The 26,012-nt window shown below is 46.2% G+C and overlaps 1 protein-coding gene and 1 pseudogene across 2 annotated transcripts in view, besides 4 other annotated features; one reads left to right on the top strand and one right to left on the bottom strand.

The window, feature by feature from the left end:
- Window positions 1–26,012, bottom strand: part of GABRR2 (gamma-aminobutyric acid type A receptor subunit rho2) — a 60,836-nt gene that overhangs the window by 27,572 nt on the left and 7,252 nt on the right. For both annotated transcript variants that reach the window (XM_047418599.1, NM_002043.5), the window contains exon 2: window positions 17,724–17,830. In XM_047418599.1, coding sequence (XP_047274555.1) covers window positions 17,724–17,830 — 107 coding nt within the window. The remainder of the gene's footprint in view (window positions 1–17,723; window positions 17,831–26,012) is intronic.
- Window positions 5,902–5,991: a silencer, noted in NCBI's record as "silent region_17388". NCBI's record gives its function as "represses an Ori minimal core promoter by ATAC-STARR-seq in GM12878 lymphoblastoid cells {active_cell/tissue: GM12878}" and the evidence as "EXISTENCE:reporter gene assay evidence [ECO:0000049][PMID:35858748]".
- Window positions 15,294–16,493: an enhancer, noted in NCBI's record as "BRD4-independent group 4 enhancer chr6:90007048-90008247 (GRCh37/hg19 assembly coordinates)". NCBI's record gives its function as "activates an origin of replication core promoter dependent on BRD2, P300/CBP, MED14 and CDK7 cofactors, and independent of BRD4, by STARR-seq in HCT116 cells {active_cell/tissue: HCT116}" and the evidence as "EXISTENCE:reporter gene assay evidence [ECO:0000049][PMID:35650434]".
- Window positions 15,879–16,188: an enhancer, noted in NCBI's record as "active region_24821". NCBI's record gives its function as "activates an Ori minimal core promoter by ATAC-STARR-seq in GM12878 lymphoblastoid cells {active_cell/tissue: GM12878}" and the evidence as "EXISTENCE:reporter gene assay evidence [ECO:0000049][PMID:35858748]".
- Window positions 16,615–16,684: an enhancer, noted in NCBI's record as "active region_24822". NCBI's record gives its function as "activates an Ori minimal core promoter by ATAC-STARR-seq in GM12878 lymphoblastoid cells {active_cell/tissue: GM12878}" and the evidence as "EXISTENCE:reporter gene assay evidence [ECO:0000049][PMID:35858748]".
- Window positions 19,691–21,273, top strand: TUBB3P1 (tubulin beta 3 class III pseudogene 1; annotated as a pseudogene).

Consider the following 26,012-nt stretch of genomic DNA (forward strand, 5'->3'; position numbering starts at 1 on the left):
CCTCCCTCCATCACGACTGCATCACTACTCCTTCCTCATACTCAATGTAGCAGCAAACGCTTGCATACGTGCACACACATTCGCACATATATACACACTCTCTCACACACACATGCAACCTCCCATGCTAGGCCCAGCCAGCGAGCCACCAGCCCCCCTCCTCCACCACACCCACAGAGATCTTGGGCTCCCTCACATACTGATCTTGCTCTCCAGAAGGAAGCAAGGACACGTGCATTTGACCTCTATGTCTACCCATCTGTCTTCTTCCCCTACAGCTCCCCAGGGGTTGGGCTTGCCATGTCCTCTTCCTGTTCATTAGGAATTCCTCTTCAGGTATCCAGGCATTCCATCTCACAATTCTGCCTTGATGGCAGAAGTGGTGTTTTATCTTCACAGTGAAAAAACCCAATGGACTAAGTTGACATGGCTCTTGCTATGAGAGCCCAGGGTGATTTGGACTAGAGGTTTCTGATGATGAAGACACATTGCTTCAATATCCACCATTATCTTTGTCACCATGAAATGACATGAAGATGCGACTGTTTGTGGAGTCGGAAGCAAAATATATAGGAGTAGCATAGGGCATGGAAAAGTTTGTTGTTTGGGAGAAAGTGTGGCAAGGTAAACTGGGATGGGATCCTGGAAAGGCCTTCTATCCAACAGCAGCCCAAGCCCACCACCAGGCCCACAGAGGCAGCCCGAAGTGGGGCTTCCCACAAGGTCAACCTGCCCAGCTCAACAGGCTTCAGACCGAAGTGGAGAGTGGCAGCTGTCTGCTCACCAGTCTCCCCCTTCCAGATCCTCACTTCCCCAGCCCCTCCCAGAGTCCTCCCATTCCCACGATACTGTGCAGCTCCGTGTTCTTGACTTCGGGCAGACACGTGGAACTGGTGACTACGGTGCCGACTCCATCCTGTGTGCTGCACACGTGGTCACACTCACTAGCTGAGGACTGACTCCTCAAAGCCCAGAGACTTTCATGATTCAGCTTTCTAAGGCTCACTTATCTGATAGGTATAAAGTTCTTTCTCAGTGTTTTCATTTTTATTTCTCTAATTACCAATGAGTCTGATCATTTCTATGTTTCTGGTCCAGGATTTCGTCTTCTGTGAATTGCCCGTTTCTGTTCTTTGCACATTTTTCTATTGGATTTTAATTTTTTTTTTTGCTTGTTGTAAGGAGAGTTTGCCAAGGATTCTTGTCATCAATAGGTGTTCTTTATCAAGAGTTTTTTCCATATCTATTTAGAGAATCCTATGATTTTCAAAATTAGAGATGTACAAAATTTTAAAAATGACATATATACATATGACTTGTGATAGCAAAATAGTGGAAACAATTTAAATATCCTTCAATAAGACAGTTGGCAAATAAAGTATGATAGATCCATACAGTGGAATAATAAACCATTAAAAATATGAAGAAGTTGTATATGAGCTGATAGATTCCCAAGATATAGTGCTAAGTAAAAAAAACCAATGTACAGAAGAGTATGTATAGTACAATAACAACGAGAGTATATATAGCCATACAAGAGTATGTATAGCACAATCGTCTAGAAAGTGGGGTGGGGAGGATATATATGCATATTTCATATGCATAAAATAGCTTTGGAAGGACATGAAAAAGATTTTTATAGGCATCTAGAAAAACAGAAGGGATAATTCCCCTGGCTCTGCATGAGCCAAGTACATCCAGGAGGGACAGCGTTTGGAACCAAGAGCTCCCTGTGAATAGCACAGGCTCAGGGAGAAGTGTACGGGGTGGGCACGTTCACGATCACACTATATTAGAGTCTATTGAAGGGCATGGATTATTGATCTTGTAAAAATTAAAAACTTTCGGAAAACAGTCTTCAACTATTTGAAGGATAGTCATGTGGAAGAGAGACTTCTTCTGAGTAGCACCATAATTACAGCTCTTAAGGTGGTATACGTAGGAGCCTCAGAGAGACAGATTGGCCCTCAAAATGATGCAAACTCTCCGATGGTCCCACCACTCCAAAGATGGTTGGGGTTGTTTCAAGAGAGAGGGTCACATGCTGTATGATTTCATTTACATGCAGTTCAAGAGTAAGCAAAACTAGTCCATGGAGACAGAGGTCAGAAAAATGGTTACCCTTGGGAAGTACCAAGGGTACCTTGGGAGGGGGTGTGAGGGAGCCTTCTGGGAGCTGGAAAGTTCTGTATCTCGATCTGCATAGTGTTTTCAAGGGTAACTGTTTACATATGTAAAAATTCAAGCTATACACTTAAGACTTGTGCACCTTACATATATATGTCGGTAGTAGGCAGAATAATGCCCCAGAGATTTATACATCCTCACCTCCAGAACCTGGGGATGTGTGTGGTTGGATGGCAAAGGAGAACTAAGAACATGTGCAGATAATTAAGGTAGCGAATCAGCTGACCTTACAATGGGGAGAGTAGCCTGAAGTACCCAGGTGGGCCCAATGTAATCACAAGAATCCTTAAATGTGGAAGAGAGAGGCAGAAGAGAAGGTCAGAGTGATGCCATGTTTAAGCAACTTAGCCCGCTGTTGGCTGGCTTTGACCACAAAGAAAGGGAGCCAGGAGCCACAGAATGTGGACGGCCTCTAGAACCCAGGAAGTGCAAGAGAATGGATGCTGCCTAGAACCTCCAGAAAGGAACATGGCCCTGCTGACGCCTTGCTTCTAACCCAGCGAGACCCATTCCGGACTTCTGAACCACAGAACTGTAAGATAATACATCTGTGTTGTGTTGTCTCCGCATTTGTGATAATTTGTTATAAAACTTAGAGGAAAGTAATACAATGTTTTACCTCTCAAAAATTTTTTAGTAGAGTGTCTGAGGTGGACTAGGGAGTGTGCTAGAACAGGGCCGGAACAGTTTACCCCTGCATAAACTATAAAGAATATGTTGATGGACTACCTCAGCGTAACATTCAAAATTCCCTGTCCACAGCCGACTCCCCAGGCACACAGCCCCGTATCCCTCTCCTCTGTGAAAACGAGTTTGCCTGTGGGCAGCCTTGCCCTTTTCCACTGACTCTAAGCTTAATTGTGTGGGGAAACATTTCAGACATTCTTCATCCCTGAGGAAGGAGGTGCCTTCTGCCCTGCCTCTGTGAGGTTGGAAAACATCCAGTCCCCAGCAGCACCTGGGCTTCTCCCCATGGGATAGCCAAGGAGTGGCCAGACTGGGCCCAGCTACCCTGGCATTGCTGGCGCAAGGGAATTGTTGTTACTGGGGGTTATATGGCTTGACTTTGCATTTGCTGCATGTTCCTTTCCTCAAGGGCTTCTTGCAAAGTTTGAGTTAATTTGAACTGTTGGCAATGACTCTTTTTCCCTTGGTGGGGGTAATCGAACGTTTCAGTTTAGAAATAGGCCTGATTTTTCTCATGGTGAGGGCCGGCTCCTAAACAGGTGATGAGCACCACGTGTGAGCATGCGATTGCGGGTGGGGAGTGGGTGAGGCTGCACTCGATCTGTGGCTCCTCCCTCCAGAGCAGCATCACCATCACCCGGGCACTTAGAGATGCAAATTCTTCGGCCGCTCCTCCCCAGGCCTGATGAATCAGACACTGTAGGGATGTGTTCAGGGGTCTGGGTTTAAGGTAGCCTGGTGGGTGATGCTGATCCACACTCAAGTTGAGAACCCCTGGATTACCGACCTTGAAGGAGACATTCAGGAGTGAGACTACAACTTGCCATGTCCTGGTGGCCGCTTCCTTTTTGCTGTCAGACTTCCACCATCCCATCTGGACCAGCTATGGGTATCTCCCACTGGCGCGCCCCCTCCTTCCCCAATGTCCTTGCTGAGTGGCAAGACTTTTCCTAGGCCTCGGCCTCTTTGACCTCTCTCCATGGGGTGCCCTGCTTGAAACTCCCTCCCTCTGGGGTCTCTGTGACACAGCTCTCGCCCGACTCCTCCTCTCCCTCCCAAGGGCCTTGGGCCCTTTCTCTTCTCTGCAGATACTCAGCTCCCCGCCCGCACCCCCAACAACAAACAAACTCTCACCCTAAAGCCAATGACAGTCTTCCTCCTGGGCCTATCTCTGACCCGAATCCTATGGCCTAAATGTTTTTCAATGCCTACAAGAGATCTCCAGGGAATATCTGGCCAATTTCTTAAATTTGACCTGTCTAAATATTGTATGATCACAGTTAGACGTGGAATCTAAAATAGTCAAATTCACAGAAGCAGAGAGTAGAATAGTGGTTGCCAGGGACTGGAGGATGAAGAAAATGAGGAAATACTGATTAAAGTGTACAAGTTTCAGTTACGCAAGGTGAGTACGTTCTGGTGATCGAATGTACAGCAATGTGACTATAACTAACAACACTGTATTGAGTAGTTGGGATTTGCTAAGAGGGTAGACCTTAAGCATTCTCATCACAAAAGAAAATGGTAACTATGTGAGGTGATACATTTATAAGCTTGTTTGTGGTGATTTTATAATACATATGCATATCAAGGCATCAAGTTGTATACCTTAAATATATACAATTTTTACTTGTTAATTATACCTCAAAGCAGAAAACAAAATGAAAAAAAAAAACTATGACAGACCTGTCTAATGGGACCCAGCCCTGCCCCACTGCCCAGCGGCCCAGTCCTTCAGGAGCATGGTGACCTCGATGGTCACCTCCACACAGATGGGGTCCTTAAGTACCAGGCAAAGGAATGAGACTGCCACGAGGGTGGGTGGCTGCAGAGGAGGGGCTGTGTGGGACACAGGGCAGGGAGGGAAGTTTAATTTTAATGGAAGGAGCAAGTAGGAGCGTGTCATGGTGTCAGGTTGCGGCTTGTGTTCCAGAGGGAAGCTGGGGAAGGGTCAGAGGTGTCCCCTCCTTCAAGGGTAGAAGCCCCTGGGAAGAAGCCCGAGGGAGCCCCAGAAGACCAGCTTCTCTCCAGCTCCTGTACCCCATCCCATTTCTCCTAAAATGTAGCAATGAAGCACTAACCTCACCCAGTGTGGGGAAGACGAGAGGCAGAGCCAGGGAGTCCAAGAAGCAGCTCAAAAAGGAGGCTGCTGCCCCAAAGTGAGCCAGTGCCCTTGCTCTGAGTCGGCTCCGTGAGCCTTGGTGGGACCAGAGGCGCGGCAACCGGGGCCCTGCTGACCAGGATCCTGTGACTTGTAGTCCAGGGGTCAAACCTCCTCTAGGGAAGAGGCCACAGAATAAAGCACCAGGAGAGCCAAGGGGGCACGAGGGTCTCTGCTCACAATCTGGGCACCCCAAATGCAGCACACTTGGGTGCTAAAGTAGCCAGCAAGGTGAAAGTTGTGTGACAGAACGACCCTAGAAAGTTCTTCAGAAGGCATCACATTGGAGACAGTCCAGCTGGGGAAGCAACCAGGCAGAAACCTAAGAAGCAGTACAAGTCTTTGCCCTGAGAGAGACCCTCAGAGCCAGGAGCTGTGTCGAGAAGGCACAGGCCCACTGGCTCCTCAGGAACAGGGCCCGTGTCTTTGTCATGTCTGCGTCTGGAGCCTTTGCAGTGCTGCATGCACCCCCACCTCCATCGCCGCCTCGCACACACTGGCTGCGCTGGCCAGGCTGCGCTAAATGCTTCCAGAGGGACATCTGAGTCCATCCTCACAACGGCTGGCTAAGGTGGGTGCTGATATCACCCCCATTCCACAGGTGAGGACTTGAGGATTAGAAGGTGACTGAGTCCCCAGCTAGAGGGAGGCACAGCCATGAGCTGATCCCCAGTGGTCTACCTCCAGAGCCCTGTGCTTAGTCACTGCCCTGTGTTATGCAGAACATTCTTAATAAATAAAAATATTGTTTACTGAGCACTTCCTATATGCCATGTACTGTGCTAGAGACATCACACAGATTACTCACTTAATTCTTAGAACTCCCCTCTGAACAGGTGCTATAATTATCCCCACTTTATGAGGCAATTAAGGAACAGAGAGGCTCAAGAACATGCCTGAGGCCACACAGTGAGAGACAGAGCTGAGGTTTGGACTTCCCAAGGTAGTATTGCCTCAGAGTGGTGGTTTTCAAACATCTCTGCAAATTTTTTAACACTTCTCCTAGCAAGAGATGAGGTTTAGTTCCCCTCCCCTTGAACCTAGGTGAGACTTGGTAATCAATTCAATGAACAGAATTCAACAGGAATGATGATGGCTGCAAACTTCCATCTGCTGGTTTCTCTTCAGTTGCCATGGAGATCACAGAGAAACCAGAGAGGGGAGGACCAATGGGGAAAAGCATCTGGGGTGGGGTGGGGGCAAAGACAAAAAAAAGGAGGGCTAGAGGGGATCAGAGAGAGGGGAGCCAGAGAGTGGAAAAGGAGGAAAGGAGGAAACCAGTGAGAGAGAGCAAGGGGGATGATGCCAGGATGCCTGAGGAGCCCCAGCTTTGGGGTCTTCAGCCCAGGCACCAGACACAAGCATGAAAACACCTTCGAGTGTTTTCACAAGCATGAAAACACCCATCAGCTGCCACCATCTGACTACAACTGCATGAGAGCCCCAGTGAGAACTGCACAGCTGAGCCCGGTCAATCCAATTTGTGAGCAAATACATAAATGCCTGTTATTTTAAGTCACTGTCTTAGGGTGGCTTATTATGCAGGAGTAGATAACCAGAAACCCAGTGTCCATGTTTTATTTTGATTTTGATTTTTAGAGACAGCATCTTACTCTGTTGCCCAGGCTGGAATACAGATAGCTCACTCCAAGTCTTGAACTCCTGGGCTCAAGTGATCCTCCCACTTCAACCTCCCAAGTGGCTAGGACTACAGGTGTGCACCACCAAGCTCAGCTAATTTTAAAAAATTATTTTTTTATAAAGACCAGGTCTCACTGTGTTGCCCAGGCTGGTTTCAAATTCCGGCCTCAAGAGATCCGCCTCAGTCTCCCAAATTGTTGGGATTGTAGGCGTAAGACACCGTGCCCAGCTAATGTTTTTAATCACTACACTGTGAACAAACCAATTAATCAATAAGTGACTGAAAGAATGAATCAATGATGTCAAAGGAAAAAAAGGTCATATACTGAGTTCAAAACAGCCGAGAGATGCTTCATGTAAGAGGAAAGAGATTAAGCTGGGCTCTAGGCATGGTGAGTCCGTCAGAAGGAGCAAGACCATGCAGAGGGGTGCTGTGAACAAATGCTCGCAGGCAGAAAGAAGCACAGATGTGCAGGGCCAGAGAGCATGCTAGGAGAGAAGAGGCCTTGCCTGGGAGGAGAGAGGAAGTAAGCAGAGGAGGCAGTGGGCCAGGCTGCAGAGAGGTATCGAGATCCAGCTGCATTGCATCCTGTAGAACAAGGGAAGCCTTGAAGCTTCAGAGGGAGCAGTGCTGAGGAAGGGGTGTTTGGAAAGTGAACCTGCCTAAGAGATATGGGAGAGCCAGAGGTGATGCTGGAAGATTAAGGCCATGGTGTTGGGGGATGGCAATATTCTCAACTTTATCAATATCACTTCCTAAAGAGAGAATTTAACTTGAATTTGAATTCTGATTTAAATTAAATACTAAGGATAAGATTTTTTCAGAGAGGGCGCAGCTAGGATTCCTTCACCCTCCAAGATCATGTGGAGAACATGGGTGTAAGGGATGGGGGGCACGCCAGAGCAGGGGAATAAGGGACAGATCTGAATTACAGTCTGATGGATGGATTGATATAACTTGATTGATCTGGAAGGGGAAGGGGAAGGGTGAGGAGGAGGGCAAAATCAACAAGGTCTTTGTCTTAGTTCATTTTGTGTTGCTATAACAGAATACCTGAGGCTGGGTAATTTATAAAGAAAAGAAGTACATTTAGCTCATGATTCTGGTGGCCAGAAAGTCCAAGAGCATGGCACTCACATCTGTTTGGCTTCTGGTGAGGGCCTCGTGCCACGTCACAACATAGCAGAGAAGCAGAAGGGGAAGTGGGTGTGTGCAGGGACCAAGGCACAACCTTGCTTTATAACAACCTACTCTTATGGGACTCTTTGATTCCTGAGAGAACTGATCCAGTCTCTTGAGAGTGAGAACTCACTCACTACCAAGAGAACAAACAGTGCCAAGTAGCGCTCCATGACCCAAACACCTCCCATTAGGCCCATCAGCATTTTAGAGACCCTGTCTCTAAAAACAAACTGTAAAATGATATATATCCCTATCCTGCTGTTTTGACAAATACACCTTCCTATCAGCCCAGAATGGCTCAGTCCAGCTTCAGAACTTGCAGACTCCAGGGAGTAGCAGGCTGATGTGTGCCAGCACAGGCAGACTGGGCCCAGCACATGAGCTGCCTTTCTTCTTTTCCTGCCACAGCAGGTCCCTGCACAGGGAAGAGCCTCTGTGCATGCATGTGGTCACCCTGCCCACATATTTAAGCCATTCACTCCCCTTGAAACAGCCACCCTCAGCCACCTCTCAGGACCAGGGGCAGGCACAGGCAATGCAGCAGTGCCCTCAGGGGCTCGCCTGGAAAAGAGGCATGCACAGGCCCTGGAGGCAGGCTCAGGGCTGTGTAGACAGTGATTCTGGGGCCCAGTGCCCAAGTGTGGCCGGGAAGGGCAGGAGAAGCAGGAGGGCAATCTCCCCTGAGCCTCACAGACTCGACACTCTGAGCCGGGTGTGGGGCCCGAGCAGGGCCCCTCTTGCCTGGGTCTGAGGTGGCCACTGACAACAGGTCCTTGCCCTCCACCTCCTGCTTGGTTCTGCCAATGAAAGTGCCAGTCGGTATCAGAAGGCAGGAGGTATCGGAAGGGAGGAGGAGGATGAGGGGAATGGCTTCTCCTGCATCGCTCTTGGCCCAGCTACGGGCTGCATCCTTCTTTTGAAGGCCACAGCTCCCATCGGGCGGCTTTTTCCAAGAGCTACAGCTCTTTTCCAGGCTCAGGTAACTGCTTCCTCCTCTCACACTCAGGCCTGGCCTGGCAATGGCTCCACATTCTTTGCAGCCTCTGGGGCTTTGCCACAGCTGCTACTTTCCCTTGACCCTGCCCATGCCTCCGTAAACGCACTTTCACTAGGCTCTCTTCAATGACCCCTTGGAGCATGCCAGCTGCTTCCTGTTACTATATCCTTTCCTCATTGCTTTTTCTCAGTGCTCTATCTCAGTGAATGGCCTCACCCAGGTCACACACTCAGGAGGTGCCCTAGGTTCCTCTGATTCTGTGGGATACCAAGACCTGGCTCTCTTCCCTCTGTAGCATCTCTCAGGTCCCTCCATTTCTTTCTGTGGTCTTCAGCCCCTCATCAGCTGTGGCCTGGAGCATCCCTGAAGGGCCCAGCCCGTGCCCTGCATCCAACCTCAGCCCGTCTAGCCTCCTCCACACAGGCCCACAGTGAGCTTCCTAAAGCCCAAGACGCATCCTGTTGCTCCTTAGCTTAGGCTGTGCTGCCAAGAGTCTGAACTCAGCAAAGCCCTCCCAGAGCGGCGCTGCCCATTGCTCCAGCCTTCTTTTGGTATGCCCCAGCTCTGCACTCCCTCCTGTCTACACACGCACACACTAGATATAATCCAGCCACGTGGACCTGCTCCTGCTCCCTGACACTTCGCTGCTTCCTGCTCCGGGGTATACCCTTCTTCTTGCCTTTTCCTCACCGCTGGTGCTCACACACTGGGTATCCTTCCAGATTCACTGCAGGTGTCACTGCCTGGATGCAGGCTTCTGCAATCTCCTCTCGGGGCAGAACTGAGCATTCCCTCCTTTCTCTTACTCCATCAGTAGAGACACCCTACATCACTTCTGTCATACTTGATTACACTTAATCATTTATCTGTTTCCCCCCAATAGACCATCAGCTTCTTGAGAACAATATTTCATTTCATGCAAAGTAATTTAATGTGAAAAGAGTTCCAATAGTATGAGCTTCCCAGGCAAGGGCGGCTCTTCCCCAGGGCAGCCCTTCCCTTGTGCCCCTGATCAGACCCAGCTGTGCACCCCAACAGCTCTCCAGCCTTTTCTTCCCAGTGGCCCTCACAATTTGGTATCTCCACATGAGGATTTCATTAAACTGCCCTTCCAACTAGAGCATAAACTCCAAGGACTATGTCTGTCTTGCTGCCTACTGGGTCGCTAGGGCCAAGGACTGCCCAACACATAGCAGCAGCTCAAAAAATACATATGTGTCTTATGAAAAAAATCATTTTGGTTGGAGAACCTGACCTACTTTGTTGTCTCCATTTTTTCCCGGCCATTCTGACAAACTCCTTGGATATATTTCAAAAAATTCCATGATGATACTATATCCCTCCAGTATCTCCCATCTATGCAGTTTGAGTTAAAAACCAGCATTGTGCTGGTGGAAGTGTAAAATGGTGCAGCCGCTGTGGAAAACAGCATGGTGGTTTCTCAAAAAAAAATTTTATATATATATATATATATATATATATATATATCAGATATATATCGTATCTCTGATATATATATCAGATATATCGTATCTCTGATATATATATCAGATATATATCGTATCTCTGATATATATATCAGATATATATCGTATCTCTGATATATATATCAGATATATATCGTATCTCTGATATATATATCAGATATATATCGTATCTCTGATATATATATCAGATATATATCGTATCTCTGATATATATATCAGATATATATCGTATCTCTGATATATATATCAGATATATATCGTATCTCTGATATATATATCAGATATATATCGTATCTCTGATATATATCAGATATATATCGTATCTCTGATATATATCAGATATATATCGTATATATCATATATAATCGTATATATCGTATATACGATATATCGTATATATCGTATATACGATATATCGTATATATCGTATATACGATATATCGTATATATCGTATATACGATATATCGTATATATCATATATTATATATCTATATATCATATATAGAGAGAAATGAGCTATATATATATATATGCTCATCTATTACTATATGATCTAGCAATCCCACTTCTGGGTATATTTCCAAAAGAATCAAAAGTAGGGCCTTGAACAGATATTTGCACATCCATATTCATAGCAGCACTATTCACAATAGCCAAAAAGAAGAAACAACACAAATGTCAATCAACAGATGAATGGATACACAAAATGTGGTATACATATCCAGTGGAATATTCAGCCTTTAAAAAAAGGAAATTCTATCACATACTACAACATGTACCTTGAAGACATTATGCTAGATGGAATATGCCAGTCATAAAAGCCACTCAAAAGTAGTATAATTCCTATATGATGTTGTTAGAATAGTCAATTATGGAGACAGAAAGTTGAATGGTGGTTGCCAGGGGCTGAAGGGGTGACAGAGAAATAGGGAATTCTTGTTTAATGAATATAGAGTTTCTGTTTGGAGAGATGAAAAAAGTTCTGGAGATGGATGGTGGCGATAGTTGTGTAACAATGTGAATATACTTAATGCCACTGAACTGTACACTCAAAAATGGTCAAAAGGGTCAATTTTATATTATATATTTCTCCACAATTTTTAAAATGAAATTTAAAAGAAAATCAGGGCTGGGCACAGTGGTTCATGTTCATGCCTAGCACTTTGGGAGGCTAAGGCGGGCAGATCACTTGAACCCAGAAGTTCGAGACCAGCCTGGCAACGTGGCGAAAACCTGTCTCTACACAAAATATAAGAAATTAGCCAGGCACGTTGGTGCACGCCTATAGCCCCAGCTACTCAGGAGGCTGAAGTGGAAGGATCACCTGAGCCCGGACAGTTGAGGCTGCAGTAAGCTCTGATCCTGCCACTGCATTCCAGACTGCGCAACAGAGCGAGACCATGTCTCAGATAAATAAAAGAAATAAAAGAAAATCAGCATTGCAGCATTTCTCCCAACAAAAGGAGGAGAAACCCTGTGCCCCTGGAGGTTCTAACCAGGGCATACTACCTAATCAAACAGCTGGTTGCTTAGACAAGGTATTTTTGTTTCAACTGATCCATGGGATTATTAGGAAGCTGACAGATTTTTAATCTTTTCTCTTTCTAGACTAAAAAGGTCACCCAACGGGTATCTAGTCCTAAGCTGATTCCTCTCTCTCTCCACTACTTTTAATTTTTAAAAAATATTTTGTTTAAAAAATTGGTGCTTGGGTCCCACCCCCAGAGATTCTGATTTAATTAGTCTGGGGTATAGTCTGAGCACGATAATTTTTCGTTGTTTTTGAGCCAGAGTCTCACTCGTCGCCCAGGCTGGAGTGCAGTGGCGCAATCTCGGCTCACTGCAACCTCTGCCTCCTGAGTTCAAGCAATTATCATGCCTCAGCCACCCAAGTAGCTGGGACTACAGGCGTGTGTCACCACACCAGGCTAAATTTTTGTATGTTTAATAGAGATGGGTTTTCACCATGTTGACCAGGTTGGTCTCAAACTCCTAGCCTCAAGTAATCCACCCACCTTGACCTCCCAAAGAGCTGGGATTACAGGCATGAGCCACCACACCCAGCCTCTATCAACTACTTTTAAACACCATTCCACAGGAAGTCCCTCTTGGAGAAATAAGATGGGAATGAGGACATAGTCCACAACAATATTGAGGATATTGAGGGACATCTTTGCTCAAATGACCTGCTTAGTATGGTGGGCGCTACTGGAAGGGGGTGTTAGGCTGAGCCGGCACTTTGGGTGGGTTGGGCCCAGGCTCTACTTTTTTTTTTTTATACTTTAAGTTCTAGGGTACATGTGTACAACGTGCAGGTTTGTTACATATGTATACATGTGCCATGTTGGTGTGCTGCACCCATTAGCTCGTCATTTACATTAGGTATATCTCCTAATGCTATCCCTCCCCCCTCCCCCCACCCCACAACAGGCCCTGGTGTGTGATGTTCCCCTACCTGTGTCCAAGTGTTCTCATTGTTCAATTCCCACCTATGAGTGAGAACATGTGGTGTTTGGTTTTTTGTCCTTGCGATAGTTTGCTGAGAATGATGGTTTCCAGCTTCATCCATGTCCCTAAAAAGGACATGAACTCATCCTTTTTTATGGCTGCATTGTATTCCATGGTGTATATGTGCCACATTTTCTTAATCCAGTCTATCATTGATGGACATTTGGGTTGGTTCCAAGTCTTTGCTATTGTGAATAGCGCTGCAGTAAACATACATGTGCATGTGTCTTTATAGCAGCATGATTTATAATTCTTTGGGTATATACCCAGTAATGGGATGGCTGGGTCAAATGGTATTTCTAGTTCTAGATCCTTGAGGAATCGCCACACTATCTTCCACAATGGTTGAACTAGTCTACAGTCCCACCAACAGTGTAAAAGTGTTCCTATTTCTCCACATCCTCTCCAGCACCTGTTGTTTCCTGACTTTTTAATGATGGCCATTCTAACTGGTGTGAGATGGTCTCTCATTGTGGTTTTGATTTGCATTTCTCTGATGGCCAGTGATGATGAGCATTTTTTCATGTGTCTGTTGGCTGCATTAATGTCTTTTGAGAAGTATCTGTTCTTATCCTTTGCCCACTTTTTGATGGGATTTTTTTTTAATTTGTTTGAGTTCATTGTAGATTCTGGATATTAGCCCTGTGTCAGATGAGTAGATTGCAAAACTTTTCTTCCATTCTGTAGGTTGCCTGTTCACTCTGATGGTAGTTTCTTTCGCTGTGCAGAAGCTCTTTAGTTTAATTAGATCCCATTTGTCAATTTTGGCTTTTGTTGCCATTGCTTTTGGTGTTTTAGACATGAAGTCCTTGCCCATGCCTATGTCCTGAATGGTATTGCCTAGGTTTTCTTCTAGGGTTTTTATGGTTTTAGGTCTAACATTTAAGTCTTTAATCCATCTTGAATTAATTTTTGTATAAGGTGTAAGGAAGGGATCCAGTTTCAGCTTTCTACATATGGCTAGCCAGTTTTCCCAGCACCATTTATTAAATAGGGAATCGTTTCCCCATTTCTTGTTTTTGTCAGGTTTGTCAAAGATCAGATGGTTGTAGATGTGTGGTATTATTTCTGTGGGTTCTGTTCCATTGGTCTATGTCTCTGTTTTGGTACCAGTACCATGCTGTTTTGGTTACTTTGGGGGCCCAGGCTCTACTTCTAACTAGAAGCCTGTCAGGGGCTGCTTCCAGGGAATGAGACACCTTCTATATCACCTGCACAGAGTCACCTTTGTGCTGTCTGTGCAGCCTCCTTTCTCACAGAGACCTGCCCATGAGGTGCTGAGTGAAATGGGGACACCCAGGAGCACCTGCAGGGAAGGTTTCTTGGCTCTAAGCCATCTTCAAATGCTCCCATAGGGTTCAGGTTATAAAGATCATTGACAGCACAAGCAGTGGGAATCCCCGTCCTGCGATCATCCCATCTTGCCTGGCTGGCCAGAACTCTGGGTGTCTTATTTATGGACTCATGGAGGCAGGGAGCCCTGGTACCTCACTATGTGCTCTCCTCCCCCCGTTTCATCCAAGTGACATCTGGGCATCCAGGAAAGCCCTGCAGGAGATTACAGGTGCCCAGAGGACCAACTGCCATGGGGAGGAGGCTTGGAAGGAAGGAGGAGTGGCCCCCACCTATACTGTGGTGGCTGAGATCTTGACTTCTATGGAAGGTGATGCCTCTTTCCTTAGCAGCTTCCCCAAAGTCAGAGCCCTCCCCAGGGTCAGAAGCTTACCCAGGCAGGGGCAGGGAGCAGTCCTGACCCTCTACGCTCTGGAGGGCCCCACAGAAGGGCCCAGCAGATGCAGTGGTCACACCACAAGGAGTCCACTTTCCTCCTGGAACTGGCTTGAGGAAGGAGCAGCGTGATGGGGACTGTGGCGTGTTGCAGCATTCTGCTCAGAGTCAGGGTTTCTGGGAACATGGCAGGATTTCATCTGCCGTTCCAAGAGCTAGCTCCTGGTGGGAGCATTTTCATAAGGCTTTCGCTTTTGCAGCTGATGTCACAAAAGAAACCTAAGTTCTGCCTCTGGCTGTTCGGTGGCCATCACCTAACTCCTTGGACCCCAGGCTCTTCTTCTACATACTGAAGGTACTGACCAGGTGATGGCCCAGGCTCCTGATAGCATCACTAGCCTTGGGTAAAAAGGTACAACACATTGTTCGGAATAGCACCCACACTCGGTGCACACCCACAAAAGACCACACTGAGGCACGGCCACGTTATGACTTTTGAGGACCCTGGGCACTTTTGCTTCATGGGCCTCTTCCTCTATAAAAAAATATCAAAAAGCATATTTTATGATTGTGTTGGTTTAATGATGAACATATTAATAGTATATATTAAAACAACTTCTGCTTAAAAGTTTGTTTTTCTTATTTTAAGATAAAGCAAAAACATTTTGTTGTGGGCCCCAGGCAGTGTGCCTATGCCGCCTAATGAATATGTCAGCTCTGCGCCAAGACATGCAAGTAGGAGACAAGAAAGGGACCCAGCTAGGAGGGGGGTCCAACCTCAGCTGACCTGGGACATTTACTTCACCTCTCTGTGCCTCAGTTTCCTCATCTGGGGACAATAATAGTATCTACTTTGTAGAACTGATGAGAGGATTAAAATAAGATTACATATATATATGTACCTTGATTAGAATGGTGCCTGGCATAAAAAAAAATCCCTATGAAAGTGGTAGTTGTGGCTGGGCACAGTGGCACACGCCTGTAATCCCAGCACTTTGGGAGGCTGAGGTGGGTGGATCACTTGAGGTCAGGAGTTCAAGACCAGCCTGGCCAACATGGTGAAACCCTGTCTCTACTAAAAATACAAAAGAATTAGGCATGGTGGTGCATGCCTGCAATCCCAGCTATTCAGGAGGCTGAGGGAGGAGAATCGCTTGAACCTGAGAGGCAGAGGTTGCAGTGAGCTGAGATTGCGCCTCTGCACTCCAGCCTAGGTGACAAAGTGAAACTCCGTCTCGAAAAAAAAAGTGGTAGTTGTCATGCATGTTATTGTTGGTTATTGTGTTTCCTAGCCACTGTACGCCTCTATGCTCTTAACTGTTGCTGTGCAAGAAAAGTGGAGCTTCTTGCTTTTGGGGACGCCTTGCTTAGACTTCCTGGAGCAGATGTAGCTATTTTAAAGCTGCTTATTAGTATAACTTTATTTTCGTAAAATTCCTTGGCAGGCTTGCCCATGACGAATCCCCGAGGAAACCCAAGAGCTACCAGAAATATGGTGGCCTCTTCTTGACCTTCCGTGGGCGTCAATCAGGTTGCGGTTGGAAGGGAGATGAGTCACAGGCCTGTAATCTGCCACCTGCTTTTCTCCTTCTGCTTAGCAGGTGTCAGAGCTCAGGGAATTTAGTGGGAGGCTTTGAGGCCTTTTAAAATGCATAGGCTTCTGGGATAAATTAATTTCTTAATCCCTTAACAGTCACACAAGAGGAAGGTCTGGCAGCTGGGTTTTTCAGAGGGGACAGGAACAAATGTCTGTCAGGGGTTTTACATACATTATCTTGTTTAATCTGGACAACAACCCCATATGTGGGGATTACTCTCCCCATTTTATAAACAAACAAATGGAGGCTCAAAGGATTGGTGACCTGCCTGGAGGTCACAGCTACTCCTTTTTACTGCCCCAGAATGATAGGACCTACTAGAGGATCAAGGGCAGAGAAAAAGGAAAAAGGGAAGCCAGCCCGCCTGGGTCTGTCTTGGCCAAGGTTCATCAACTGAAATTCTTGGTGCCTCAGTTTCCCCAAGAGGAGAGGAAAGTTGGCCCAGGGATCTCATACATTCTGCTATTCTTACCCCACTCTCTGCCTAGTCAGAGCAGATGACTGATTCCTTTCCCAGCTGCTATGGCCTGAATGTTTATGTCCCTGACAAATGTGTATGTTGCAATCCTAACCCGCAATGGGATGGTACTAGGAAGTGGGCCTTTGGAAGGTGATGAGATCCTGAGGGTGGAGCCCTCACCAGTGGGATTAGTGCTCTTAGAAAAGAGGCCCTAGAGAGCTGCCTTGCCCCACCCACTATGTGAGGTTACAGTGAGAAGGCACCGTCTATGAACAGAAAGTGGGCCCTCAGCACACATGGAAACTGTTGGCACCTTGATCTTACTTCCGGCCCCTGGAAACATGAGAAATACGTTTCCATTGTCTATAAACTGCCCAATCTATGGTGTTTTGTGTGAAAGCCAGAACTGACTAAGACACTGTCCACCTTCTCCATAGCATTTCTCTAGTTCCTGGGAAGGACACCCACTGGCCATGCCTCCCCTCCCTGACCCCAAGACTAACAGAGCACCTTTGGGGGCAGGTGTGCAAGAAATCTTTGTAATGAGTTAAGCTCTTGTTGCTGCACTGGAAAACAGGTGACTCCATCAAAACAGCAAACTCCCAGGTAGTCATGGCAACAAAGTTGCAATGCCTTGTTCAGAATTCCACTCACACCCAGACACACACACATGCCAAAATAGTGCAGAGGGAGGGCCACACTAGGACTTTTGAGGATCCTGGGCACCTCTGCCTTCATGGGCCTCTTCCTCTATAAAAATGACAGAGGAGCTATTTTGTGTCCTGATTCTCCTTGCCTGCTCTTATATTTGTAGGACAAAAAAGTTGGCAGCTGCAGGGCCTGTCTCCTTTGTGAATGTAAATGGCTTAGTCACTGGTGGGCCCTCTTTAGTCAACGGCCCTCTCCACTACTTCCTGCTCTTTTCTCCTTGGGAAAATTAGGGACTCAGGAAATGGAGTCAGATTTATGTGAGTGGGAAAATTGCACCATCTGAGGAAGCGCTGTGCCAGAGGGAGCCAGAGAGGGCAGCACATCACATCCCTGGGGCCAACCTCCCACCTGGCATCAAGGAAGAACAGTCCTACCTCCGAAGGCGGGTCTCATGCTGAAGTCGTGCTCGTCCACTCTGAGAAGCTGCTGAGGCTTTCCCTTCCGGATCTTGGTCACATCAAGGTTCTTCTTATATAAGTGACTGTGAAGACAAGCAAGAAACTATTTTCCATCGGCTCTTCAATGCATTGAGTGAGATGATTTGGGCTATTACTCCCTGCAAGATCTACCTGTTAGGTACCTTTTCTCCATTCTACTTCTTGGCCCAGGGGAGAAGGAGGGCTGAAGGACCCTCCACACACACGCCAGATCCTCACAGGTAGACTGACCTGAGGACCAGGTTCTTCTGGAGCCTTCTGAAAGTGGATGCCCTCCTGGGCAGGACAACATTCTACCTTGGTAAAGGCTATAATTGGATGAAAATGGTTGGATTGGCTGCTAGCTAGACTAATAAAGAAGAAAAGGGAGAAGATCAAAATAAACACAATTAGAAATGAGAAAGGGGGCTAGGTGCAGTGGCTCACACCTGTAATCCCAGCACTTTGGGAAGCTGAGGTGGGCAGATTGCTTGAGGTCATGAGTTTGAGACCAGCCTAGCCAACATGGTGAAACCCCATTTCTACTAAAAATACAAAAATTAGCTGGGCATGGTGGCACACACCTGTAGTCCCAGCTACTCAGGAGGCTAGGGCACAAGAATCACTTGAACCAAGGAGACGCAGGTTGCAGTGAGTGGAGATTGCGCCACCCGGGTGATAGAGTGAGACTCTGTCGCAAAAAAAAACAAAAAGAAATGACAAAGGGGATGTTACCACTGACCCCACAGAAATACAAATAACCATCAGAGACTACCATGAACAACTCTGTGTACACAAACTAGAAAACCTAGAAGAGATGGATAAATTCCTGGACACATACACACCCCAAACCAAATAGTGAACCAGGAAGAAATTGATTCCTTGAATAGACCAATAATGAGCTCCGAAGTTGAAGTTGAATCAATAATAAATAGCGTACCAACCAAAAAAAAAAAAAAAAAAAAAGGCCCAGGACCTGATATATTCACAGCCAAATTCTACCAGATGTACAAAGAACTGGTACCATTCCTACTAAAACTATTCCAAAAAATTGAGGAGGCGGGACTCCTCCCCAGTTCATTCTATGAGGCCAGCATCATCCTGATACCAAAACCTGGCAGAAACACACACACACACAAAAGAAAGCTTTAGGCCAATATCCTTGATGAACATTGAGGCAAACAATCCTCAACAAAATATTTGCAAACCAAATCCAGCAGCCCACCAAAAAGTGAATCCACCACAATCAAGTAGGCTTCAATCCCAGGATGCAAGTTTGGTTTAACATACGCAAATCAATAAATGTGATTCATCACATAAAACTAAAGACAAAAGCCACATTATTATCTCAATGGATGCACAAGAGGCTTTCGATAAAATTCAACACTCCTTATTAAAAACTCTTAATAAACTAGGTATTAAAGAAACACACTTCAATACATATGTGACAAACCCATAGCCAACGTCATACTAAATGGGCAAATGCTGGAAACATTCCCCTTGAAAACCAGCACAAGACAAGGGTGCCCTCTCTCACCACTCCTATTCAACATAGTATTGTAAGTCCTGGCCAGGGCAATCAAGAAAGAACAAAATGAAGGGCATCCAAATAGGAAGAGAGGAAGTCAAACTATTCTTGTTTGCAGATGATGTGATTCTGTATCTAGAAAACCCCATAGTTTTGGCCCAAAAGCTCCTTCAGGTGATAAACAACTTCAGCAAAGTTTTGGGATACAAGATCAATGTAAAAAATCACTGGCATTCCTATATGCCAACAATGGTCAAGCCTAGAGCCAAATCAGGAATGAAATCCCATTCATGATTGCCACAAAAAGAATAAAATGCCTAGGAATACAGCTAACCAGGGAGGTGAAAGATCTCTACAATGAGAATTGCAAAAACACCACTCAAAGAAATCAGAGATGTCAGCAGCCAGCCCAGCCCGCCTGCCCGTCCGCAGCCGCCTGCCAGACACGCCCAGTATGAGGGAGATCCTGCACATTCAGGCCGGCCAGTGCGGCAACTAGATCGGGGCCAAGTTCTGGGAAGTCATCAGTGATGAGCATGGCATAGACCCCAGCGGCAACTACGTGGGGAACTCGGACTTGGAGCTGGAGCAGATCAGCATCTACTACAACGAGGCCTCTTCTCATAAGTATGTGCCTCGGGCCATTCGTCGACCTGGAGCCCGGGACCATGGACAGTGTCGGCTCGGGGCCTTTTGGACATTTTTTCAGGCCTGACAATTTAATCTTTGGTCAGAGTGGGGCCGGCAATAACTGGGCCAGGGGTCACTACACGGAGGGTGCGGAGCTGGTGGATTCCCTCCTGGATGTGCGGAAGAAGTGTGAGAACTGCGACGGTCTGTAGGGTTTCCAGCTGACCCTCTCGCTGGGCGGGGGCACAAGCTCGGGTATGGGCACGCTGCTCATCAGCAAGATGCATGAGGAGTATCCCAACTGCATCATGAACACCTTCAGCGTAGTGCCCTCGCCCAAGGTGTCACTGTGGTGGAGCCCTACAACCCCATGCTGTCCATCCACCAGCTGGTGGAGAATACAGATGAGACCTACTGCATCAACAAGGAGGCGCTCTAGGACATCTGCGTCAGCACCCTCAGGCTGGCCACGCCCACCTACGGGGACCTCAGCCACCTGACATTGGCCACCATGAGCAGGATCACTACCTCCTTGTGCTTCCCGGGCCAGCTCAATGCGGACCTGCACAAGCTGGTGGTGAACATGGGTGCCCTTCCCCTGCCTGCACTTCTTCATGCCAGGCATGAAGCCCGGGCAGCCAGCATTACCGGGCCCTGACCGTGCCCGAGCTCACCCCTCAGATGTTTGATGCCAAGAACATGATGGCTGCCCGCGACCGGCACCACGGCTGCTACCTGGCAGTGGCCACCGTGTTCCGGGGCTGCCTGTCCATGAAGGAGGTGGACGAGCAGATGCTGTCCATCCAGAGCAAGAACAGCAGCTACTTCGTGGAGTGGATCCCCAACAACATGAAGGTGGACGTGTGTGACATCCCACCCCCCAGCCTCAAGATGTCTTCCACCCTCATCAGCAACAGCACGGGCATCCAGGAGCTGTTCAAGCATCTCAGAGCAGTTCACGGACATGTTCCAGCACAAGGCCTTCCTACACTGGTACATGGGCAAGGGCATGGACGAGATGGAGATCACCGAGGCCAAGAGCAACATGAATGACCTGGTGTCCGAGTACCAGCAGTACCAGGACTCCATGGCCCAGGAGGAGGGTGAGATGTTCGCAGATGAGGAGGAGGAATTGGAGGCCCAGGGCCCCAAGTGAAGCTGCTTGCAGCTGGAGTGAGGGGCAGGTGGCGCCGGTGCCAAGGCCAGCAGTGTCTGACCTCCAGAGCCATCTTGCTGTCGACACTGTCCCCAGCTTTCCCCCACCAGCTTGTCACTCACGCTAGGGCTCCCTTGCCACCCTCCTGCAGTGTTTACACCCGTCCTCCCCACCTAGGCCACGTGTGTGCTGCTCCTGTCTCTGTCTTATTGCAGCTCCAGGCCTGACATTTTATGGATTTGTTTTTTACTGGTTTGTGTTTATATTTTCAGGGATACTTAATAAATCTATTGCTGTCAGATAAAAAAAAAAAGAAATCAGAGATGACACAAAGAAATGAAAATACATTTCATGCTCATGGATAGGAAGACTCAATATCATTAAAATGGTCATACTGCCTAAAACAATTTATAGATTCAATGCTATTTCTATCAAACTACCAGAGATATTCTTCACAGAACTAGGAAAAACTATTTTAAAATTCATCTGGAATCAAAAAAAGACCCCAAATAGCCAAAGCAATCTTAAGGAGGAAAAAAAAAAAAAAAAAAAAAACCCAAAGCTGGAGACATCACATTACCTGACTTCCAACTATACTACAAGGCTATGGTAACCAAAACAGCATGGTACTGGTACAAAAACAGGCACATAGACCAAAGGAACAGAATAGAGAGCCCAGAAATAAGGCTACACACCCACAGCCATCTGATCTTATGCAAAGCCAACAAAAGCAATAAGGCAAGGACTCTTCATTCAATACATGGTGTTATGAGAACCGGCTAGCCATATGCAGAAGATTGAAATTGGACCCGTTTTTTACACCATATACAAATATCAACTCAAGATGGATTAAATACTGAAGTATAAAACTCAAAACTATAAAAACCCTGGAAGACACCCTAGGCAATACCATTCCAGACACAGGAAGTGGGAAAGATTTCATGATGGAGACACCAAAAGCAATTACAGCAAAACCAAAAATTGAGAAATGGGATCTTATTAAACTTAAGAGCTTCTGCACAAAAAAAGTATCAACATAGTAAATAGACACCCTACAGAATGGGAGAAAATATTTGCAAGCTATGCATCTGACAAAGATCTAATATCCAGCATCTATAAGGAACTTAAATTTACAAGAAAAAAACAAACCCCATTAAAAAGTAGGCAAAAAGTGGGCACAGTGGCTTATGCCTGTAATTCCAGCACTTTGAGAGGCTGAGGCAGGAGGATCACTTTGAGAAGATGAGGCAGGCGGATCACTTGATGTCAGGAGTTCAAGACCAGCCTGGCCAACATGATGAAACCCCGTCTCTACTAAACAAAAGTTAGCTGGGTGTGGTGGCGTGCACCTGTAATCCCAGCTATTTGGGACACTGAGGCACGAGAATCACTTGAACCTGGGAGGCAGAGGTTGCAGTGAGCTGAGATCGTGCCACTACACTCCAGCCTGGGTGAGAGAGTGAGACTCCATCTCAAAAAAAAGAAAAAAAAAAAAAGAAAAAAAGTGGGCAAAGGACATGAACAGATGCTTTTCAAAAGAAGACATACACTCAGCCAAAAAACATATGAAAAACAGTTCAATAACACTGATCATTAGAGAAATGCAAATCAAAACCACAATGAGATACCGTCTCACACCAGTCAGAATCACTATTATTACAAAGTCAAAAAATAACAGATTCTGGTGAGGTTGCAGAGAAAAGAGAACGTTTATACACTGTTGATGGGAATATAAATTAGTTCAACCATTGTGGCAAGCAGTGTTGTGATTCCTCAAAAAGCTAAAAACAGAACTACCATTCTACCCAGCAATCTCATTACTGGGTATATAGCTAAAGGAATGTAAATTGTTTTCCCATAAAGACACATGCATGTTCATTGCAACACTATTCACAATAGCAGAGAGATGGAATCAACCTAAATGCTCATCAGTGACAGATTGAATAAAGACAACGTGGTATGGCCACACATGGTGGCTCACAGCTGTAATCCCAGCACTTTGGGAGGCCAAGGCAGGTGGATCACAGGCCAGGAATTCAAGACCAGGCTGGCCAACATGGCAAAACCCTGTCTCTACTAAAACTACAGAAATGAGCTGGGCATAGTGGTGTATGTCTGTAATCCCAGCTACACAGGAGGCTGAGGCATGAGAATCACTTGAACCCGAGAGGTGGAGGTTGCAGTGTGCTGAAATTGTGCCATTGCTCTCCAGAAAAAAAGAAAAAGAAAATGTAATACACATATACCATGAAATACTCTGCAGCCATAAAAAAGAATTTGATCAGCTGGGGGTGGTGGCTCACACCTGTAATCCCAGCACTTGGGAGGCCAAGGCAGGCAGATCACTTGAGCCCAGGAGTTCAAGGCTAGCCTGAGCAACATGGTGCCACATCCAGCTACTTGGGAGGCTGAGGTGGGAAAATCACTTGAGCCCAGGAGGGAGGTCAGGGCTGCAGTGAGCCATGATCATGACACTGCTCTCCAGCCTAGGTGACAAAGACCCTGTCTCACACACACACACACACAAAAAGCATGAGATTATGTCCTTTAGCTGGAACATGGATGGAACTGGAAGGAGGAACAGAAAATCAAATACCACATGTATTCTTACTTCTGAGTGGGAGCTAAGTGATGAGAACACATGGACACAAAGAGGGGAACAAAAGACACTGGGGCCTACTTGAGTGTGGAGGGTGGGAGGAGGGAAAGGATCAGAAAAAATAACTGTCGAGTACGGGGCTTCGTACCTGGGTGTCAAAATCATCTGTACAACAAACCCCTGTGACACAAGTTTACCTCTATACCGAGTCTGCATGTATACCCCTGAACCTAAAATAGAAGTCTTAAAAATAAATAAGAATCTCACCCAGGATAAGTAAATAAATATAAATAAATAAATAAATGTGTGATGAGAAAAAAAGAAAAAGAAAATGATTGTGTTGAGTACTGGAAGATCATGATTTTTTTTTTTTAATTTCTTGGCCGAGTGCAGTGGCTCACATCTGTATTCCTATCACTTTGGAAGGCCCAGGTAGGAGAATGGTTTGAGCCCAGGAGTTTGAGACCAGCCTGGGCAACATAGCAAGACCCCGTCCCTTTAAAAAAAAAATGTAATAACCAAGTGTGATGGCATATGCCTCTGGTCCCAGCAAATTGAGAGGCTGAGACAGAAGGATCACTTGAGCCTGGGAGGTTGAGGTTGCAGTGAGCATTCTAGCCTGAGTAACAGAGTGAGACCCTGTGTTTAAAAAAAAAAAAAATTCTCGTGATGTTATAAGAATGGTTTTGTGATAAATATACTTCTAAGACAAATATAGTCAAAACTTTTAAATGCTGGTTTTATCTTTGCCAAATATGATGCTCCTTACTTCAGTCCAGGTCTGCAGAACCTACCCTGGGACAAAGCCTTCCTCCTTAGAAAGACAATTCACAGCCAGTGGAGGACAGAGTTGCTCTGACCATCCACCTAGGTGGTGCACCCAGAGCTGGAGCCCAGGACACAGCCCTGGTCAGTCCTTCCTCTAAACCAGGTGACGGCAAAGGAGTGATTCTCTCTTCTTTCTTTCACGCTCACTCTTTCCAGATCATTTTCTTCACCACAACTGCACACTAAAGCAGTCAGATCCAAAATGTTCTAAGGCAATTGTCTGCTGACAGTTATTACTAAACAAAAAAAAAGAGAGAGAAAAGGAAAGAAGGAAAGAGAAAAAAAGAAAAAAGATGGAAAGAAGGAAAAAGGAAAAAGGAGGAAGAGAAGGAACCTTCACACAGCCAGGCTAATCCACAGTACGTTACCTGTTCCTCTTATAGGCTTTTGGTTTGTGCCTGGCACTGAAGTTACTTTGTGTACATGTCTCACTTAGCCTTCTAAGAGCGTTAGGCTAGGGTTTATCTCTGTCCATTGCACTTAGCACAATGCCCGGCATGTAGCAGGCATTCAATAAAAGGTAGCAACATGACCACACAAACAACTTCTAGGAGAAATTTAAACCAATTCCATTCTAGTACATTTGGTCAACATCATCTGTAACCCAGATGCTTCTCAGCCTTAACCACACTTTAGAATCATCTCAAGTGGCTTTTAAAAACCCTGATGCCCAGGCTGTACCCCAGAACAACCAAATTCACCTCTCTGGGGTGAATTCCCTAGCTATTCCCATGCAATCAAGGCTAAGAATCACAGTCATTCCAAACTTAGCATTTTTAGATCTTGGAATACCTTAATGATAATAAACTCTATGTGGCTTTGTGTTATGTTGGCTAGACCTATGATTCTCAAACTTAGCTACAGATTATAATCACCTGGGGAGATATTAAAACCAATGATGCCTAAATCCCACCCCTAGAGATTTGAATTTGACTGGTTGGGATGGAGGTCTCAGCACTGGAAATTTATTAAAGCTCCTGGATGATTCCAAGGTAGAGCAACATTTGAGAACCGCTAGGATAAGCCTTAATCTAATGCCTTTGGCAATGTCCTGAGAGCTGCCCAGGGCACCTGTTGGTGCTGACAACTTAGTAGTAGCAAGTGAGAAACTGCTAACTCACCTGCTGAAGAAACCAGAGCCCTCAGGGCCTGTGACTGTTGTGTGCAGCATATTGAAGGTTTTTAGAAATCAATGGAGATTTGGTTTTGAGTGTTTGTTGTTTATTTACATATACCTCTATTTTCCTCCCTGTTCTTGTCAAACTTCATTCACTTTTTTTTTTTTTTTTTTTTTGAGATGGAGTCTTGCTCTGTCGCCAGACTGGAGTTCAATGGTGAGATCTTGGCTCACTGCAACCTCTGCCTCCTGGGTTCAAGTGATTCTCCTCCCTCAGCCTCCCGAGTAGCTGGAATTACAGGCACCCGCCACCACACCCAGCTAATTTTTGTATTTTTAGTAGAGACGGGACCACCATGTTGGTCAGGCTGGTCTCGAACTCCTGCCCT

The sequence above is a fragment of the Homo sapiens genome, chromosome 6, assembly GCF_000001405.40.
Source record: "Homo sapiens chromosome 6, GRCh38.p14 Primary Assembly".
Taxonomy (NCBI): domain Eukaryota; kingdom Metazoa; phylum Chordata; class Mammalia; order Primates; family Hominidae; genus Homo; species Homo sapiens.